The sequence below is a fragment of the Homo sapiens genome, chromosome 19 (genome assembly GCF_000001405.40).
Source record: "Homo sapiens chromosome 19, GRCh38.p14 Primary Assembly".
Lineage (NCBI taxonomy): Eukaryota > Metazoa > Chordata > Mammalia > Primates > Hominidae > Homo > Homo sapiens.
Window position 1 is genome coordinate 57,110,372 of NC_000019.10, and position 21,865 is coordinate 57,132,236.

The 21,865-nt window shown below is 42.6% G+C and overlaps 1 protein-coding gene and 1 pseudogene across 2 annotated transcripts; one reads left to right on the plus strand and one right to left on the minus strand.

Annotated features, from left to right (window-relative positions):
* On the minus strand, positions 749 to 1,656 carry LOC100419839 (zinc finger protein 300 pseudogene; annotated as a pseudogene).
* Positions 8,716 to 21,555, plus strand: USP29 (ubiquitin specific peptidase 29). Of its 2 annotated transcripts, none has more exons than NM_001389643.1 (4): positions 8,716 to 8,850; positions 11,954 to 12,103; positions 13,674 to 13,768; positions 18,289 to 21,555. In NM_001389643.1, exon 4 carries the CDS (start codon positions 18,305 to 18,307, stop codon positions 21,071 to 21,073), a length of 2,769 nt encoding a protein of 922 aa, NP_001376572.1. In that variant the 5' UTR covers positions 8,716 to 8,850; positions 11,954 to 12,103; positions 13,674 to 13,768; positions 18,289 to 18,304; the 3' UTR covers positions 21,074 to 21,555. The 2 variants fall into 2 exon arrangements, with proteins under 2 accessions (NP_001376572.1, NP_065954.1); NM_020903.3 differs by lacking the exon at positions 8,716 to 8,850 and adding an exon at positions 9,614 to 9,858 and having other exon boundaries at positions 13,668 to 13,768.
* Positions 21,556 to 21,865: the final 310 nt, after the last annotated feature.

Genomic DNA, 21,865 nt, shown 5'->3' on the forward strand with positions numbered 1-21,865 from the left:
TAAATTTAATTTAATTTAATTAATTAAATTTAATTTAAATTTAATTAATTAAATTAATTTAAATTTAATTAATTAAATTAATTTAAATTTAATTAATTAAATTAATTTAAATTTAATTAATTTATTTAATTTAAATTAATTAATTAAATTAATTTATTTAATTTAATTAATTAATTAATTTAATTTAATTTAATTCCAATTAATTAAATTAATTAATTAAATTAATTTAAATTTAATTAATTAAATTAATTTGAATTTAATTAATTAAATTAATTAAATTCAAATTAATTTAATTAATTTAATTTAATTAATTTAATTCCAATTAATTAAATTAATTTAAATTTAATTTAATTCCAATTAATTAAATTAATTTAAATTTAATTTAATTCCATTAAATTACTAACATATAGGCTGGGTGTGGTGGCTCACATCTGTAATCCCAGCACTTTGGGAGGCCAAGGCAGGAGGATCACCTGAGATCAGGTGTTCAAGACCAGCCTGGACAACACGGCAAAACGCTGTCTCTACTAAAAATACAAAAATTAGGTGGACATGGTGGCAGGCACCTGTAATCTAGCCACCTGGGAGGCTGAGGCAGGAGAATTGCTTGAACCGGGGAGGCATAGGTTGCGTCGCAGTGAGTTGATATCGTGCCATTGCACTCCAGCCTGGGCGACAAGAGAGAGACTCCATCTCAAAAAAAAAATTACTAACATATAATATGAACTCTTTAGTTTCTAATAAATATTGAGCTAATTTTGAAGGCTTGACTCACAAAATTTTTTGCCTATATGAGTTCTTGCACGTTCACTAAGGGATGAAATGTGAGCAAAGGCTTTTCCACGCTTATTAAATATATAGGGCTTCTCTTCAGTATGAGTTCTCTCAAATAGAGTAATGGCTAAACTATTTTGGAAGGCTTCCTCACATGCATTAGAGACATAACCATTTCTCTCCACTATGGATTTCCTGGTGTTGAATAATGTCAGTCATGCAACAGAATGCTTTTCCACATGTATTATGTTTGTGGGGATGTCTCTTCAGTGTGAGCTCTAGTATGTTGCCTTAAGGAGGAAAACTCACTAAAAGCCTTCCTACATTCAGTACTTTCATAGGATTTTCCCCTAGTGTCAGTTTTTTGATGTAGGATGAGCTGGGAGGTCTTGTTTCTTGTTGCTTTATCACATTTTTTACAATCACAGGTTTTCTTTCCTACATCAGTTCTGCCATGCTGCAAGGAAGCTGAGCTGCATTTGACGGCTTCTCCCCATTGCTTGCCTTCACAGGGCTTCTCTCCTGGGTGAGTTCTCATATGTCGAAAAAGAGATGAACTATCAATAAAGCCTTTCCTACATTGACTATAATCATAAAGTTTCTCTCCAATGTGAATTTTCCAGTGTATAATAAGGTGTGCTTTTCTGCTACAGGCTTTCAGGCAGAGAGTGCATTCTTAGGATTCCTCACCTGTATAGAATCTTATGTGTCTAGCATAGGATGGGCAATCAGTAAAGCGTTCCTCACACTCATTGCATCCACAGCATTTGTCTTTAGTGCATATTCTTTGATGTCCAATTAGGTATAAATTCTGCCTGAATACCTCCTCACATTCACTACATTCTGACTTGTATGAATTTTCTCATGCTTTATTTAAGATGAATTATAACTGAATGATTTTTCATCTCCATTAAATCCATAAAGGTTATTTCTTCTATAATTAAGTAAATCAAAATTATGCTTCAAGCCCCCTCCACTTAACACATGCTCATGGAGTTTTTGTCTTGAGGGGATACTGTTTACAAAAGCCTCACGTTCACAGACTTTCTGCTCAGTACATGTTTTCTCATAGATGAAATTAATTTGATTTGGAAGTCTCTCCTTGACCAGGCATGGTGGCTCACGCCTGTGATCCCAACCCTTTGGGAGGCCAAGGCAGGTGGATCACTTGAGGTCAGGAATTTGAGACTAGCCTGGCCAACATGGTGAAACTCCATCTCTACTGAAAATACAAAATTAGCCAGGCATGGTGGTGCATGCCTGTAATCCCAGCTACTTGGGAGGCTGAGGCAGGAGAATCGCTTGAACCCAGGAGGCAGAGGTTGCAGTGAGCCGAGATCACACCATTGCACTCCAGCTTGGGCAACAAGAGAAAAACCCCTTCTCAAAAAAAAAAAGAAAGAAAAAGAAAAGTCGCTCTTCATTTTCTTGGTGCATCTCTATTTGGTTACCAGCTTCCTAGTCATTTCCTAAAAGGGAAGAGAGAATTTATCACTTGTGAATCTTCCCATTATCACACTGTGGAATTAAACTTCTTTACACATACCCCTTGGTGGGTATATACTCTTATTTTGTCCCATACATCATATTTTTTTTACTTATTGGTTTTTACATCTGACTTTCATTAACTGCGGGCACTTTAGAGACCAGGATCTTAGCTCTAGACTTCAGGGTTTTTTTTCTTACTTCTGTTTTCCTTTGCTGACAACCACGTACAATAACTTCGCTCTTCAGCACAAACCTACAATTTCTCTAGCCCACAAAAGCACAGCAAATATGAAAGATGAAGTAAATGCCAGCTTGGCACCCAATCTCATGTCACTTGGATCCACACCATGCACTTAATAATACACTTTTTTTTTTGAGACAAGGTCTGGCTGTATCACTCAGGCTGATTGCAGTGGCACAATCGTGGCTCACTACAACCTCTGCCTCCTGGGCTTAAGTAACCATCCTCCCACCTCAGCTTCCCAAGTAGCTGAGATGACAGGCACGTGTCACCATGCTTGGCCAAGGTATTTCCAACAAATAACCTTCTGCTCCATTCAAACCAGGGTGCCAGGCTCCTCAGCTTGCAGACGGCCTATAGTGGAAACTCACCTTGTATGCGTGTGAGTCAATGCCCCTTAATAAACTCCCTTTTATATATACATCTACCATATTAGTTATGTCCCTCTAGAGAACCCTAATACACAGGCAAATGATGGAGCTCTTGGTCTTGTTCAGATTCAGTTCCATAAACAATATTTCAGACTCTATGAGTGAAACATGCACAGTGCCAACCCCTCACTGATCATCAGGGATGTGTGACCTTCTTGTGCCCTGTTTGCCAGATGCTCAGGGGCTCACCTGGACTACCCTGATATGGGGTTCCTGTCCCCAACATCCATGGTTCTTCTCCCCACTCTAAATGAAAGATCACATATGTGCCAGGTACAGTGGCTCACGCTTGTAATCCCTACACTTTGGGAGGCCAAGGCGGGCAGATCACCTGAGGTCGGGAGTTCAAGACCAGCCTGACCAACATGGAGAAACCCCATCTCTACTAAAAATACAAAGTTAGCCAGGCGTGGTGGTGCATGCCTGTGATCCCAGCTACTTGGGAGGCTGAGGCAGAAGAAAGAAGAAGTGCTTGAACCCGGGAGGCGGAGGTTGTGGTGAGCCGAGGTCATGCCATTGCACTCCAGCCTGGGCAACAAGAGCAAAACTCCATCTCAAAAAAAAAAAAAAAAAAAAAAAAAAAAGATCACACCTGACATGGGAACAGGACACCATTTTTATGGGAAATGCTGGGGTCTGGGGGTTACAAACTGGAGACAAAGACCAAATTTCTATTAACAGTAGTCCTCCTGCTGTACATTAGATCTCTAGATTTATTCATCCTACGTAACTGCACTTCTGTACCATTTGACCACATCTCCCCGCTTCCTCCTCCTCCCCACCCAGGTAACCACCATTCTGTATTTGATGTTGTTGTTTTTTAATTTCACATATATTCAGACAAATTTGAGTTTAAAAAATTTTTTTAATTTTCACATGTAAGTGAAATCATGCAATATTTTTATTTCTGTATCTGGCTTATGTCACTTATCATCCCTTAGTATAATTTGAGTTTCATAGGCTCTCACCTCATTAAAATGGCACTACAGAATCTTGTCAAATAAATATATCTTTCAGGCACTGGAAAAGTCTCAGAAAGAAAAGATATCCTCTCTCCTCTTTAGCTATAGTTCAATAATACGATTTAAATAATCCGATCTGATAAGGTATCCAATGAAGAACATTTATGGGACCATAAACTTGTTCTTCTCTCCAAAATTCAGTGAATATTTGTAATTGTTAGCAATCTGTTATGCTCTCCACTAATATAAACCAACTCTTAAAAGTTATTGGAACAAAAGAACCCTGAAAAGCACTCAGTCTCCAGAAATTGTTGCATTAATCATTCTCATTAGGTGCCTTACTCAACAATTTGTTGCCTGAGTTATAATCACATCCTTGAATTTCCAACATATTAACACTTTAAATATTTCTTTATCTCATCACAAGATCAGCACTTTCCTCTCCTCTGAGAAGTATGAGGTAGCAATGTCACTGATTTTTATTAAATGTTTTGGAGTCTTGACTCACTTAAATGCATATTATGTGCCAAAATGTGACAGGAAATTAAATGAGATGCCAGGCATTTCAGAGGAAATAAAGAAAAGAAAATCAAGTTTAACAAAAGGAAGAAGGGTGTCCAATAGTCATCCTTAAAGAAAGCACATTTACTTATGTATATCTAAAGGTGTAAGGGCATGGGGCTGAGAGCCAGGTTGACAAAGGCTAGAGGACAGAGAATCAGAGAAATCATCCAAAAAAGACGAGCAAGATGATCCAAAGGACAGCGGGCTGGCCACCACATCTTCTAAAGCCCAAGGCAAGAATGACCGTGGACTCCATTTTTAAGTCCACTGGTCTATCTCTAGTGGACAATCCAGCAGTACCTATCAAAGCTTCAGCAAGTCTACCTCTAAGATCCACCTCTACTGTCTACCTCTAAGCAATCCTCTAAGTCTACCTCTACTGATCCAGCAAGTCTACCTCTAAGAATGTATCCCAGGATATACTTGTGAAGATGGAAAAGGACTGAGTATTATGATTAATTACTGAAGAATGGTTTCTAATGGTAAAAGATTGGAAACAACCTAAATATTCACCAAGAAACATCTGGCTAAATCTACGGTCTATACACACAGGGACATTGTGCAGTTATCATACCACACTTTGTATGTATACTATGATGTCAAAGTCACTCACGGTTAATGTTCTTTTTCAAAAGAACATTAGAGGTAGATTTTCTGGACCAGTGTGGATCTGAAACTTTAACAGATACTCCCAGATTTCCCACTAGAGATAAATTGGCAGTCTTAAAAATGGGTTCACGGTCTTTCGTGCCTTTGGCTTTAGAAGACACGGTGGCCAGCCTACTGTTCTTTGGATCATCCCACTCATTTCTGTTGGGTAATTTCTCTAATTTTTCCTCCTCTGGCTTTCTTTTAGCCCCTTTATTTATCTAAGTTAAAATTTCAAATATTTTTCCAAATTACCAAAAATAATTCCATTAAGAATTTGATTGAGACTGGGCGCAGTGGCTCACACCTGTAATCCCAGCACTTTGGGAGACTGACGCAGGTGAATCACCTGAGGTCAGGAGTTTGAGACCAGCCTGGCCAACATCGTGAAACCCCATCTCTACTAAAAATACAAAAGTTAGATGGGTGTGGTGGTGCACACCTGTAATCCCAACTACTTGGGAGGCTGAGGCAGGAGAATTGCCTGAACCAGGGAGGCGGGGTTGCAGTGAGCCCAGATCCCACCAATGTACTCCAGCCTGGGTGACAGAGTGAGACTCTGTCTCACGAAAAAAAAAAAAAAAGAATTTGATTGAGTGAAAATACCTGGGCAGGAGAGACACTCCATTCTTTGTGCCTTTGATGCTCTATTGTACCTTTTTCTTTTCTTTTCAAGACATGGGGTCTCACTATGTTTCTCAGGCCGGACTTGAACTTCTGGGCTCAAGCCATCCTCCCACCTCAGACTTCTAAGTATCTGGGACTGCAGGTGCAAGCCACTGCACCCAACTCTTAATGTACCTTTTACACACATTTGTGTCACAACACCTGTGCCACACCCTTAACAGTTTTGCAGATGCACATCCCAACGTTTTTCAGTTTTGAGAAAAATCACTTTTATTTGGTAAAAATCACACATGCTTATGAAAATAATTACACATTGCACCAAAGTGACAAAGATGAAAGTAATCACTCCAGATCCTAGTTCCGAGAGGTTACTATCTTTAACAGTAGGCAAATAATAAAATCCCAGGTTTTTTGTTTTTTCTTTTGAGACGGAGTCTCGCTCTGTCACCCAGACTGGAGTGCAGTGGCACGATCTCGGCTCACTGCAAGCTCCGCCTCCCGGGTTCAGGCGATTCTCCTGCCTCAGCCTCCCCAGTAGCTGGGACTACAGGCGCCCGCCACCATGCCTGGGTAATTTTTTGTATTTTTAATAGAGACGGGGTTTCACCGTGTTAGCCAGGATGGTCTCAACCTCCTGACCTCATGATCCGCCCACCTCAGCCTCCAAAGTGCTGGGATTACAGGCGTGAGACACGGCGCCTGGCCAATCCCAGGTATTTTTTCTATGCAAATATACAGAAGGCTGGATGGATAAACAGATAATACATGTAAATACTTAAATTAGAATGTGGCCCAGGAGAACATGAACTCCATGAGGTCAGGGATTTTTGTTGGCTAGGTTCACTTCCACATCTCCTGTACCTAGAGTAAGGTTTCTCAGCCTGGGCACTACTGACATTTGGGCTGGATAACTCTTTTTGTAGGAGATTGGGGTGGGTGGGGAGCGTGCCATCCACTGCACTGTAGGATGCTGAGTAGTGTCCTTGGCCTCTACCCTGGCAGAAGCATCCATGTGACAACCAAAACTGTCTCCAGACATTGCCAATTGTCCCCTGGGGGCAAAACTGCCACCAAGTGAGAATCACTAACCTAGAAAAGTGAGTGTTCAATACACAATAAGTGCTTGTTAAATGTATTACACAACCGGAAAATGATGTAAGGGCAAGTTAAAAAGTAATGCAAACTGGCCGGGCACAGTGGCTCATGCCTGTAATTCCAACACTTTGGAGGCCGAGGTGGGCAGATCACCTTGAGGTTGGGAGTTCAAGGCCAGCCTGGCTAACATAGTGAAACCCCGTCTCTACTAAAAATACAAAAATTAGCCAGGCGTGGTGGTGGGCACCTGTAATCCCAGCTACTAGAGAGGCTGAGGCAGGAGAATCAATTGAACCCAGGAGGTGGAGGTTGCAGTGAGCCTAGATCCCCGCCATTGCAAGTCAGCCTGGGCAACAAGAGCAAAACTCCATCTCAAAAACAAACAAAAAAAAAAGTAATGCAAACTCATCTGGGTTTTGGTCATGTCCTGCATCTCCTGAGGAAGGGCAGAGGGCTGAGGAGCAGTCCTTGGGAAGCACAAACATGTGAGAATCCAGGTTGGCTCTATGCCCTACCCAGTAACGTAGCCCCAAATCTCTGCCTTAGCTGACATGGGGGCACACTGAAGTCTTGTGAAGGGTAGAAGGGACCATGTTGAGGCAGGGACAACCTTGCCTACAGGTGATTCAGGTAATCCCACAAGTTCAGCCACAGAAAACAAGCATGACCATGTGCAAAGACTTCCACGAGACCACTTGTCACAGGGTTGTTTTAATTCAAGCAACATCAACATACACCAGAAACTTGTGAAGAAAATTATGGCACATTTGTATAACTTCAGTGTCAAGAAGCCAGCGGTATTTTGCAGATAATGCAAGGTCTGTAGATCGAAAATTAAGTTGGGTGTCTTCCTTTAGTGTACAAACACCTTGGATGTTTGAGGAAATCCAAAGACAAGGTTCTAGGCATTTTATACGTGTTAACTCATGTATTATGTTAATTCTCACAATAATCCTTTGGAACTAGTACGATCACCATCCCTGCCTTATTGAGGAGGAAATGGGGTACAGAGAGCTTAAGCAACTTGCCAGTGTCATGCAGCAGGGAAGCGCTGGAGGCAGGGCTCCAACCCACGCAGCCTTGCTGCATGTTTGTGGAATGAACACAGGACTCAGGCACACAACCATCTGGCTGAGGCTCCATGAGCAGCCAGGAGCCTGGTCCCAATGCAGTCTCCTTATAGGCACAAATGGGGTGCCCCTTGAGACAGGAATAATAAAGGTGGTCACAGGAGAACGGAAAATTCCAGGCAACAGTTTCACATGACTAGCAAAGGAAACCGTTGAAATCGCTGCGTAAGCTAGGGGCGGATAAGACTCTGAAAACCAGGGTGTGGGCCAAGCTGGCTAAAGCCGACTGGACCCAACATGGTGCTGGATTCGACCCGTTTCACCTAGGACCTCTCATTATGTGCTCATTAACATACTAAGTCACACACCCACTGTGACAGCTCTGGGGAACACCCGTATTTAGTATAAAAATGTGTGGCACCGCAGTACCAAGAAATGTTTACCTTTTTCCAAGAATCTTCATGAATATTCCACCCCTTGGTTAAATAAATATTTAAAGGTAGCTCCAAACCCCGCTGGGCGTGATGCTCTGTGGTATGCCTGCACTTTTCTTTCTTCAGTACGTACTTATTCCCGTCGCAATGAATCTCCACACTTTGTTCTGCTCATCCATGAATTCCTTCTCACGACAGTGTCAAGAGCCTGGACACCAGTCAGGGTCGAGGCCTCACCAGCATCTTGGGGCCTCACTGGGCACAGACGCGTGAGCGCCCGGCCTGCAGACCTGACTCTGGCAGCCGCTCAGGCCCTCAGAGGGAGAGATGGAAGCTGGCAGGACGCAGTTGCTACCGCGCGGACCCGGCCCCCGACCAGCCTTGGCCCCTCGCGCGCCGGGACAGGGCCACAAATGACTGCACCTGGGCTTCGCTGGCCCAGGCACCACGCGACTCTAAGCGCGCCCAAAGCGACCCTCTGCGCAAACTACCCCCGGGGACGACGTCACCCGTGAGGTCCCGCGGCGCCTCCTCCTAAAGCTCGGCTGGGAAACCGTCCGCTTCCCCAAGACTTGGGGGCTTGTGGCCGAGTTGTTTTAGTTTTCCTGTAGGATTCACGGGTGGCTGAGGCAAACACGCTTGAAGGCCTAAGACTTTTAAGTCTCTTCCGCACCCTCTCTTCTGTCTCTTCCACCTGGAGGATGACCGCTTTTTTGGGGGTTTTGTTGTTGTTTTGAGACGGAGTCTCGCTCTGTCGCCCAGGCTGGATTGTAGTGGCGCCATCTCCGCTCACTGCAACCTCCGCCTCCCGGGTTCAAGCGATTCTCCTGCCTCAGCCTCCCGAGTAGCTGGGATTACAGGCGCCCACCACCATGCCCGGCTGATTTTTGTATTTTTAGTAGAGACGGGGTTTCGCCACGTTGGTCAGGCTAATATCAAACTCCTGACCTCAGGTGATCCGCCCTCCTCGGCCTCCCAAAGTGCTGGGATGACAGGCGTGAGCCACCGCGCCCGGCCGGGATGACTGTTATTAACAATTCCCGGCGTGGTTTCTAGCACCAGCCCACCTACCACACCCCACCTCGCTTGAGGCTGAATGGGTAACAGGATGAACCCGCCCCTGGGCTGGTTTTCTCTGAACCCTAACTCCTGCCGTTACGCCCCACCAGCTCTAGGCCAGGAACTCTATGTGCCCCGGCCACGCTAGAGCCCGTACCTAGACCCGTAGGTCGGGAGGCCTGCGCCCGGCACTGCGCAGACGCAGCGTGCTGTGCCCAGAACTCTTCTGTTCCCAGGAGAATCAGGGGAGTCGGCGCCGGAAGGGGCGGGTCCGAGCTGAGATTTCCAGAGCCATGGGAGCCGGAAGTCCAAGGAACTGTACCTCCATCATGACGACTCCGGTTACGTAAAAACATTCAAACAGAAAATGCTGGCCAGGCTCATGCCTGTAATCCCAGCACTTTGGGAGGCCGAGGCGGGAGGATCGCTTGTGCCCAGGAGTTGGAGACCAGCCTGGGCAACATAGTGAGACCCTCCCCCCACCCATCTCTACAAAAAATTTTAAAATTAGCTAGCTGAGATCATGCCACTGCACTCCAGCCTGGACAACAAAGTGAGACTATGTCTCAAAAAAATTTAAAAATTACCCACGCCTGTAGTGTCAGATAGTCAGGAGGCAGAGGTTGGAGGATGACTTGAGCCTTGGGGATCGAGGGTGTAGTGAGGTATGATCGCACCACTGCACTCCAGCCTGGGCAACAGAGCAAGACCCTGTCTCAAAAACTATATAAAAGAAAAAAGGGCTGGGTCGGTGGCTCACGCCTGTCATGCCAGCACTTTGGGAGGCCGAGGCGGGTAGATCACCTGAGGTCAGGAGTTTGAGACCAGCCTGACCAACAAGGTGAAACCCTGTCTCTACTAAAAATACAAAAATTAGCTGGCCATGATGGTGGGTGCCTGTAATCCCAGCTACTGGGGAGGCTGAGGCAGGAGAATCACTTGAACCCCAGAGGTGGAGGTTGCAGTGAGCCGAGATCACACCACTGCACTCCAGCCTGGGCGACAGAGCGAGAGACTCCGTCTCAAAAAAAAAAAAAAAAAAAAAAAAACAGAAAAAAGGCCGGGCACGGTGGCTCACTCCTGTAATTCCAGAACTTTGGGAGGCCAAGGCGGGCGGATCAGGAGTTCGAGACTGCCTGGGCAACATAGCGAAACCCCGTCTCTACTAAAAATACAAAAAATTAGCCAGGCGTGGTGGCGGGCTCCTGTAATCCCAGCTACTCAGGAGGCTTAGGCAGGAGAATCACTTGAACCCAGGAAGCAGAGGCTGCAGTGAGCCGAGATCACGCCATTAAACTCCAGCCTCGGTGACAGAGTGAGACTCCATCCCCGCTCCGCTCCCTCACCTCCCGCCAAAAAAAAAAAAGAAAATGCACTGCAATAGAAAAATAAAAGTACTACACTTTGGTCAAACAGGGTAACTACTAGAACGTAAAATGATCTTTTTGAAACTATCCACATTTGTTACACGTGTTGAAAATGTAGGATATATATGTTATATATATACTTATATATGTTATATATACTTATATATGTTATATACTTATATATGTTATGTACTTATATATTATATATACTTATATATGTTATATCTACTTATGTTATATACTTATATATGTTATATATACTTATATATGTTATACATACTTATATGTTATATATACTTATGTTATATACTTATATATGTTATATATACTTATACATGTTATACATACTTATATGTTATATATACTTATATATGTTATATATACTTATATATGCTATATATACTTATATATGCTATGTATACTTATATATGTTATATATATACTTATATGTATGTTATATATACTTATATATGTTATATATGCTTATATGTATGTTATATATGCTTATATGTTATATATACTTACATATGTTATATATACTTACATATGTTATATGTACTTACATATGTTATATATATACATATATGTTATATATATATAATTATATATATATAAAACAAAAAGCACGGTTACTACAAAGAAAACAGGTAAACATTAAGTGGAGTAAAAGTATATCCTGTTATATAAGGGACTTGAACATGTCTGGGCATGGTGGCTCAAGCCTGTAATCCCAGCACTTTGGGAGGCTGAGGCGGGTGGATTACTGGAGGTCAGGAGTTCGAGACCTGGGCAACATAGCAAGACCTTGTCTCTATTAAAAAATAGATAGATAGATAGATAGATAGATACATAGAACATCAAAAGAGGGAGAGAGAAAGCAGACAGATGTGGCAAAATATACACAATTGGTAAATTTGGGTGAAGGGAATATAAGTTATTTCTACTAATCTTGCAATTCTTATGTATATTTGCAATGATTTCTAAATAAAAGTTTTTAATTACCAATTGAAATAAAGTAAAATAAGTCACTATCTAGCCTTTTCTAGACAAATATTTTAAACTCTTACACAGAGATAAGTTAATCAAGAAACGTATTTCCTGGAAAAACCCGTGATATGGGTGGAGCCACCTGGGAATAAAAGGTCGGAACATCATAATCACTGTCAGACTCAACTTCCATCATTCTCCTCCAGGCGCTATGGAGTCTAATCCAGGCACTTTGGAAGGCTGAGGCTGGAGGATCGATTGAGGCCAGGAGTTTGGGACCACCCTGGGCAACATAGCAAGATCTCATTTCTGAAAAAAGAATTATCATCCACTCACCCAGAACAGCTCTCCAAACTGTAAGTTTCATTCAAGGTTTGCTTGTTTGGGTGATGGGATGTGTGTGTGTGTGTGTGTGTGTGTGTGTGTGTGTGTGTGTGTATGTGTGTGTGAGTGTTGGAAGGAGGGTCTGTCTAAACTTAATGCCCTAAAGATATTGTCAGATATTGTGATGAGGGGAATTTCATCTTCTACCCTTTATGAGGTTGAATTGTAAATTCGAAAATCCTGATTCTGGGTTTTTATTTTGAGGGGATAGTTTTCTGTTTTCTGTGGCATTGGATATTGGCATTTTCAGAAAAGAGCATGCATCCAAAATGAAAATGATGAAGCCTACCTGTCTTTTGAACTCAGCTCAGGGAAAAGCTGATGATCTCTAATTTTTGTGATTCCTCCTTTCATTAAATTTAAGGTCCAGTGAGGGTGAAGTTTCCCTAAAGAGGCAATAATTTATCAGCAGCAACAGGATGAAATGGAGGGGCTTTTCTTCACACTCTATATATTATGTTAGGATCTCTCAGGAAACTGAGGACACATTAATTATAATCATGGAAGATTTTCTGCTTCCCACATGGTTTGCTGGGTTTGGCATAGTATAGCTCATGCCCTACATTGAAGAAATGTGGGCACCCATCAACAGCAGCCATTTCTGATTACACATCCCTGTTTCTTTAGCTGAGTGACTCCTAAAAGTCCCTTAATGTATTAATAATGCATTTGGACCTCAGTTTTCTTACTATGTTAAATGTAATAAAATTGAATATCATATGGTCACTTGCAGAATTAAATGGTATTAAGGCATGTAAATCATATAGAGTGATGTAGTACAACAAACAATAAACCTGTAATAAAAGTCACTAAACTCCCTTCCCTCCCATGATGGAGCCTTAATTTTCTCTATATGAGGCATCCCTGTAGTTTAATATATTCTTAGAATTAGCAATAGGAATATGATGTCAACAATTAATTTTGAGCCATTTTAGCCCAATGACTTATCCTAAGAAGTCGCTATTATTGTTGCCATCCCGTTTTCACTTATACGAAAGTAAGACTCAGGAGGGTTGAGTTTCAGCCTTAGTGTTAGAAAAGCAGTAAGCGGTGAAGCCGGGCTTGGAATCCTGGAAGTTGGAATGTACAATGTGTGATCTCGATGCATCCTCTCTGTAGTGCCTCTTTGTAACAAGAAAAAAATAAAGATACTTAAAGTTCTAGGTAAGCAAAGTCAGAACTAGTCTTTAAGTTAGAGACCCATAAAGTATAAGGTTTCTCAAACAACAAATGTTGTTAGAAGGTCTTGTTGTGGCAGAGTTCCAAGAAAACCAATGAATGTGAAGTCAGTTGATATATTAATCTAATCTGTGTAATTGGGGAGGGGCACTTTTAGGAATGCATTTAGAGATAATCCCATTAACACAGGAGGTTTTCTCCCAGATTAAATTAACGTAAACGACTTTGGAGGAAGGTTGGTTTTCCCAGTTTCTAAGATATAATGCAATAAATTAACATGAAAGATGGTTGGGACTATGTGCAGACTTTTTAAATAAACCTCAGTTTCAGGACTCTGACCTTTTTGTTTCTTCCTAGTAACAGCCGTGGCAGTCAGAGCTCTGCCTGCAGTGTGACCATGGACAGCTCTCCAAAGCTTAAACTTCAGTAAATTGACTCAAGTTTCTTCGGAAAGAACTGTGAGTAGCAAAGGGCAACTTTTTCTGTTGGTTTCATTGGGATTTCACTGCTTTTCCTGAAATTGGAATGTTGGAAGGAAGTAGGCATTCCTCACTGCCTGGGGAGAAATGGGCAAATGAGTAAGGGGAGGGAGCAAATTCAGAGAGATATTTTTTATTTTTTCTGAAACCTGTTTGTGTTTTGAGATGTCTTTCCCTTCATGTTTTTTTTTTTTTCACTCTTCATATTTCCCTTTCTCTGTCTCTCTCCCCACCTCGGTTTTGCTAATTAGCTAGCACAACAACTCGCCATCTTACTCCTTTTCCTTACTCCCTGTTTTTTGTGGGGTTTTTTTTTTGGTTTTCTTTTTTGTTTTTTTTTTGTTTTTGTTTTTGTTTTTTGTTTTTCAGACAGAGCCTTGCTGTGTCTCCCCAGCTGGAGTGCAGTGGCGAGATCTCTGTTCACTGCAACCTCCACCTCCAGGGTTCAAGCGATTCTCCTGCCTCAGCCTCCCCAGTATCTGGCACTATAGGTGCCTGCCACCATGCCCGGCTAATTTTTGTATTTTTAGTAGAGACCAGGTTTCACCATGTTGGCCAGGCTAGTCTCAAACTCCTGACCTCAGGTGATCCACCTGCCTCAGCCTCCCAAAGTGCTGGGATTACAGGTGTGAGCCACCGTGCCCAGACAGAACTTCTTTATTTTTGCCTTAATTTTGTTATTTAACCAGTAGTCATTCAGGAGCATCATATAGAGTGATGTAGTACAACAAACAATAAACCTGTAATAAAAGTCACTAAACTCCCTTTCCTCCCATGATGGAGCCTTAATTTTCTCCATATGAGGTAGTTTAATATATTCCTAGGATTAGCAATAGGAATATGATGTCGACAATTAATTTTGAGCTGTTTTAGCCCAATGACTTATCCTAAGAAGTCGTTATTATTGTTGCAGTCCCATTTTCACTTATGTGAAAGTAAGACTCAGGAGGGTTGAGTTTCAGCCTTAGTGTTACAAAAGCAGTAAGTGGTGAAGCCAGGCTTTCCATGTAGTTGTGTGGTTTTTAGTGAGTTTCTTAATCCTGAGTTATAATTGGATTGCACTGTGGTCTGAGAGCTTGTTTGTTATGATTTCCGTTCTTTTGCATTTGCTGAGGAGTGTTTTACTTCGAATTATGTGGTCAATTTTAAAATAAGTGCTATGTGGTGATGATAATATTGATCTATCTAATATTAACAGGGGGGTGTTAAAGTCTCCCACTATTATTGTGTGGGAGTCTAAGCCTCTTTGTAGGTCTCTAAGAACTTGCTTTATGAATCTGGATGCTCCTGTATTGGGTGCATATATATTTAAGATAGTTAGCTATTCTTGTTGCATTGATCCCTTTACCATTATGTAATGCCCTCTTTGTCTTTTTTGATCTTTGTTGGTTTAACATCTGTTTTATCAGAGACTAGGATTGCAACCCATCCTTTTTTTTGCTTTCCATTTGCTTGGCAAATATTCCTCCATCCCTTTATTTTGAGCCTATGTATGTCTTTGCACATGAGATAGGTCTCCTGAATATAGCACATCAATGGGTCTTGACTCTTTATCCAATTTGCCAGTCTGTATCTTTTAATTGGGGGCATTTAGCCCATTTACATTTAAGGTTAATGTTGTTACGTGTGAATTTGATCCCATCATCATGATGCTAGCTGGTTATTTTGCACATTAGTTGATGCAGTTTCTTCTGTGTCATTGGTCTTTATATTTTGGTGTGTTTTTGCAGTGGCTGGTACCGGCTTTTCCTTTCCATATTTAGTGCTTCCTCCAGGAGCTCTTGTAAGGTAGGCCTGGTGGTGACAAAATCCCTCAGCATTTGCTTGTCTGTAAAGGATTGTATTTTTTCTTCGCTTATGAAGCTTAGTTTGGCTGGATATGAAATTCAGGGTTGAAAATTCCTTAAGAACGTTGAATATTGGCCCCCACTGTCTTCTGGCTTGTAGGGTTTCTGGAGCAATCCACTATTAATCTGATGGGCTTCCCTTTGTGGGTAACCCGACCTTTCTCTCTGGCTGCCCTTAACATTTTTTTCCTTTGTTTCAACCTTGGAGAATCTGACGATTATGTGTCTTGGGGTTGCTCTTCTCGAGGAATATCTTTGTGGTATTCTCTGCATTTCCTGAATTTGAATGTTGGCCTGTCGTTCTAGGTTGGGGAAGTTCTCCTGGATAATATCCCAAAGTGTGTTTTCCAACTTGATTCCATTCTCCCCGTCACTTTCAGGTATACCAATCAATCGTAGGTTTGGTCTTTTCACATAGTCCCATGTTTCTTGGAGCCTTTGTTCATTCCTTTTCATTCTTTTTTCTCTAATCTTGTCTTCACGCCTTATTTCAGTAAGTTGATCTTCAATCTCTGATGTCCTTTATTCTGCTTGATTGATTTGGCTATTGATACTTGTGTATGCTTCACGAAGTTCTCATGCTGTGTTTTTCAGCTCCATCAGGTCATTTATGTTCCTCTCTAAACTGGTTATTCTAGTTAGCAATTCCTGTAGCCTTTTATCAAGGTTCTTAGCTTCCTTGCATTGGGTTAGAACATGCTCCTTTAGCTCAGAGGAGTTTGTTATTACCCACCTTCTGAAGCCTAGTTCTATCAATTCATCAATCTCATTCTCTGTCCAGTTTTGTGTCCTTGCTGAACAGGAGTTGCGATCATTTGGAGAAGAGACATTCTGTTTTTTGGATTTTTCAGCGTTGTTGTGCTGGTTTTTCCTCATCTTTGTGGATTTATCTACCTTTGATCTTTGAGGCTGTTGATCTTTGGATGGGGTTATTGTGTGGGGGTCTTTTTTGTTGATGTTGATGTTGTTGCTTTCTGTTAGTTTTTCTTCTAGCAGTCAGGCCCCTCTTCTGCAGGTCTGCTGCAGTTTGCTGGAGGTCCACTCCAGACCCTTTTCACCTGGGTATCCCCAGCGGAGGCTGCAGAGCTGCAGAACAGCAAAGAGTGCTGCCTGTTCCTTCCTCTGGAAGATTTGTCCCAGAGGGGCACCAGCCTGATGCCAGCCAGAGCTCTCCTGCATGAGGTGTCTCTCAACCCCTGTTGGGAGTTCTTTCCCAGTTAGAAGGCACGGGGGTCAGGGACCCACTTGAGGAGGCAGCCTGTCCCTTAGCAGAGCTGTTGTGCTGTGCTGGGAAAATCCCTCTTATCAGGATCAGCTGCTCTCTTCAGAGCCAGCAGGCAGAAAAGATTAAATCTGCTGAAGCTGTGTGCCCACAGCCACCCCTTCCCCCAGGTGCTCTGTCCCAGGGAGATGGGAATTTTATCTGTAAGCCCCTGACTGGGACTGTTACCCTTTCTTCAGAGATGCCCTGACCAGTGAGGAGGAATCTAGAGAAGCAGTCTGGCCACAGCTGCTTTGCCATGCTGTGGTGAACTTTGCCCAGTCCAAACCTCCCACCCTCCTTAGCACTGTCCAGGGAAAACTCTACTAACGCCTCATTAATCACGGATGCGCCTCCCCCAACCAAGTTCCATCATTCCAGGTCAACTTCAGACTGCTGCACTGGCAGTGAGAATTTCAAGCCAGTGGTTCTTAGCTTGCTGGGCTCCATGGGAGTGGGACCTGCTGAGTGAGATCACTTGGCCCCCTGGCTTCAGCCCCCTTTCCAGGGGAGTGAATGGTTCTGTCTCACTGGGGTTTCAGGCACCACTGGTGTACAAAAAAAAATCAACTCTTGCAACTAGCTCGGTGTCTCCCCGAACAGCTGGCTAGTTTTGTGCTTGAAACCCAGGGCCCTGGTGGTGTAGGCACACAAGGGAATCTCCTGATCTGCAGATTGCAAAAACTGTGGGAAAAGCGTAGTAACCGGGCGAGTAGCATAGTTCTTCACGGCTTCCCTTGGCTGGGGGAGGGAGGTCCCTGGCTCCTTGCATTTCCCAGGTGAGGCAATGCCCCACCCTGCTTCTGCTCGCCCTCCATGGGTTGCACCCACTGCCTAACTAGTCCCGATGTGATGAACTGGGTACCTCAGTTGGAAATGCAGAAATCGCCCACCTTCTGCATTGGTCTCGCTGGGAGCTGCAGAGCGGAGCTGTTCCTATTTGGCCATCTTGGCCCCGCCCCTTTTTTAATTTTAAAAAATTTTATGTAGCGATGAGGTCTCCCTATTTTGCCATGCTGGTTTTGAACTCCTGGGCTCAAGTGATCCTTCCACTTGGCCTCCCAGAGTGCTAAGATTACAGGCGTGAGCCACCATGCCCAACCAAATTTGTATTTTCTCGATGAGCAGTGATGCTGAGCACCTGTTCATATCTCTGTTGGCCATTTGTATATTCTTTCTCGCCTAACAGCTCCCTTGAAAATGCGTGTGCCTCAGTCTATGTCTTCTGGAGAACTGGCACAGCTTCAGAATATTAGCACCCCAAAAGAGTATTTTACTTAGAGCATAAGAAGACTAAAAATAAATCATTATTATATGTGGATGAGGTTTTTCATAAAATATAACTGTTAATATATTCTTGGTTAAAATGCATGTGTGCTTTTCTTCTTTAGGTTACATAAAGAAAGGATGATATCTCTAAAGGTATGTGGATTCATCCAAATTTGGAGCCAGAAGACTGGGATGACTAAGCTGAAAGAAGCTCTCATTGAAACAGTGCAAAGACAAAAGGAAATTAAACTGGTGGTCACTTTCAAATCTGGAAAATTTATAAGAATTTTTCAGCTGAGCAACAACATTAGAAGTGTGGTCCTTAGACATTGTAAAAAAAGACAAAGTCACCTGCGTTTAACTTTGAAAAACAACGTGTTCTTGTTTATTGACAAATTATCCTACAGAGATGCTAAACAGTTGAATATGTTCCTGGACATAATCCACCAAAACAAATCTCAGCAACCCATGAAATCTGATGATGATTGGAGTGTGTTTGAAAGCAGGAATATGCTGAAGGAAATTGACAAAACTTCATTTTACAGCATTTGTAACAAGCCAAGTTATCAGAAGATGCCTTTGTTTATGTCAAAATCACCAACACATGTGAAAAAGGGGATATTAGAAAATCAAGGTGGGAAGGGGCAAAACACACTATCATCTGATGTACAGACAAATGAGGACATTCTGAAGGAAGATAACCCTGTACCAAACAAGAAATATAAGACAGATTCCTTGAAATATATACAAAGCAATAGGAAGAACCCATCAAGTTTAGAGGATTTAGAAAAAGATAGAGATTTGAAACTCGGGCCTTCATTCAATACCAACTGTAATGGAAATCCTAACCTAGATGAGACTGTTCTTGCAACCCAGACTCTCAATGCCAAAAATGGTTTGACATCTCCATTGGAACCAGAGCACAGCCAGGGTGACCCAAGATGCAACAAAGCCCAGGTGCCTCTTGACTCTCATTCACAGCAACTGCAGCAGGGGTTCCCCAATTTGGGAAACACCTGTTACATGAATGCAGTTTTACAATCGCTATTTGCAATTCCATCTTTTGCTGATGACTTACTCACTCAAGGTGTCCCATGGGAATATATTCCCTTTGAGGCTCTTATTATGACCTTGACCCAGCTGCTTGCTTTGAAAGATTTCTGTAGTACAAAGATCAAGAGAGAATTACTTGGGAATGTTAAAAAAGTCATTTCAGCAGTTGCAGAAATATTTTCTGGCAACATGCAGAATGATGCTCATGAGTTTTTAGGTCAGTGTTTAGACCAGCTGAAAGAAGACATGGAAAAATTAAATGCCACTTTGAATACTGGGAAAGAATGTGGGGATGAAAATTCATCTCCACAAATGCATGTTGGTAGTGCTGCCACCAAAGTGTTTGTTTGCCCTGTTGTTGCTAATTTTGAGTTTGAATTGCAGCTCTCCCTTATTTGTAAAGCTTGTGGTCATGCTGTTCTCAAGGTAGAACCTAATAATTATCTCTCCATCAACCTGCACCAAGAAACAAAACCACTTCCTTTGTCCATTCAGAATTCTTTAGATCTTTTCTTTAAAGAAGAAGAGCTTGAATATAACTGTCAGATGTGTAAGCAGAAGAGTTGTGTTGCAAGGCATACATTTAGTAGGCTCTCCAGGGTCCTTATCATTCATCTGAAACGCTATAGCTTCAACAATGCTTGGTTGCTGGTGAAGAATAACGAGCAAGTTTATATTCCCAAATCTTTAAGTTTATCTTCTTATTGCAATGAAAGCACCAAACCACCTCTTCCCTTGAGCAGTAGTGCACCTGTTGGGAAATGTGAAGTCCTGGAAGTCTCTCAGGAGATGATTTCTGAGATCAACAGCCCATTGACACCATCAATGAAGCTGACCTCAGAATCCAGTGATTCCCTGGTTCTACCCGTTGAACCAGACAAGAATGCCGACCTACAAAGATTCCAGAGAGACTGTGGAGATGCAAGCCAAGAGCAGCATCAGAGAGACCTGGAAAATGGCTCTGCACTAGAGTCAGAATTGGTCCACTTTAGAGATAGGGCAATCGGTGAAAAGGAGCTTCCAGTGGCTGACTCACTGATGGACCAGGGAGACATTTCTCTTCCTGTGATGTATGAAGATGGAGGGAAGCTGATCAGCAGCCCAGACACAAGGCTTGTCGAGGTTCATCTTCAAGAGGTGCCTCAACATCCAGAACTTCAGAAGTATGAGAAAACCAATACATTCGTAGAGTTCAATTTTGACAGTGTCACTGAGTCCACCAATGGCTTTTATGACTGTAAAGAAAACAGGATTCCAGAAGGATCTCAAGGAATGGCTGAACAGCTCCAGCAGTGTATTGAGGAGAGCATCATAGATGAATTTCTTCAGCAGGCACCACCTCCAGGTGTTAGGAAGCTGGATGCCCAGGAACATACAGAAGAGACCCTCAATCAGTCTACAGAATTAAGACTTCAAAAGGCTGACCTGAATCACCTTGGGGCACTGGGTTCTGACAACCCAGGAAACAAAAACATTTTAGATGCAGAGAACACAAGAGGTGAAGCCAAGGAACTAACAAGAAACGTGAAGATGGGGGATCCTCTCCAGGCCTACAGACTCATCAGTGTTGTCAGCCATATCGGGAGCTCCCCAAATTCAGGCCATTACATCAGCGATGTGTATGACTTTCAGAAGCAGGCCTGGTTCACATACAACGATCTATGTGTATCAGAAATCTCAGAGACCAAAATGCAGGAGGCGAGGCTTCACTCTGGGTATATCTTCTTTTACATGCACAATGGGATTTTTGAGGAGCTGTTAAGAAAAGCAGAGAACTCTCGGCTACCTAGCACACAGGCAGGGGTGATCCCTCAGGGGGAATACGAAGGTGACTCTTTGTACAGACCTGCTTGACAGACTCACTCGGCCTCACTTCATCCTTGCAAAGAGAATCCTGTACTTCATCCTTGCAAAGAGAATCCTGTACTTCACTCAGAATGAAGGAACAAGTATCTCAGGATGAAATCTCAATGAAAAACACTTATTTTGGGGGAATATCTATTTTAACTGCTTCAGACACCTAGATCCCAGAACTCAGGCGCATATGCATATTTTCCCTGCAAGATTAGAATGGTGCTCTTCACGTTTTGACGGTGGTTTTCAAAATGTTGTTCTTCAACCAGCAACAGCAACAGCTAGGGACTGATTAGAAATGCAAATTCTTGGGTCACTCTCTAGACCAACTGATGCAGAAACAGGAGGTGTGAGCCAGCAATCAGATGGAGATTCTAGTGCTCATGAAAGTTTGAAGAACACTGGTAATGTGTGGAGTATCTTGGTGTATTTTGCTACTGTTGATATGGATTGCTTATGTTATATAAACGATTTTCATTAAATTTTTTGCACTCTTTTATTTTGTCCCACTGAACCTAAGACTAGATAGAGTCACCCCAAAAGTGGCAGCAGGGAAATTCCAACAAGAGAGTGCCCAAAACCATTCTGAGATCGGGCCGGTTGGGATTCCAAAGAAAGAAGCACCAAACACCAGAGGGATCTTTCCGGAGCATTTATTAGGGGGAACTTAGAGAGTTCTGCAGCATACCCTCAGGCGGACAGTGAGAGAAAAAAGCATGGTCAACCAGCTGGGCACCGTGGCTCATGCCTGTCATCCCAGCACTTTGGGAGGCCAAGGTGGGAGGACTGCTT

Excerpts from the sequence above, each read along its gene's own strand:
- USP29 (NM_001389643.1), top strand. The coding sequence starts at position 18,305 with ATGATATCTCTAAAGGTATGTGGATTCATCCAAATTTGGAGCCAGAAG.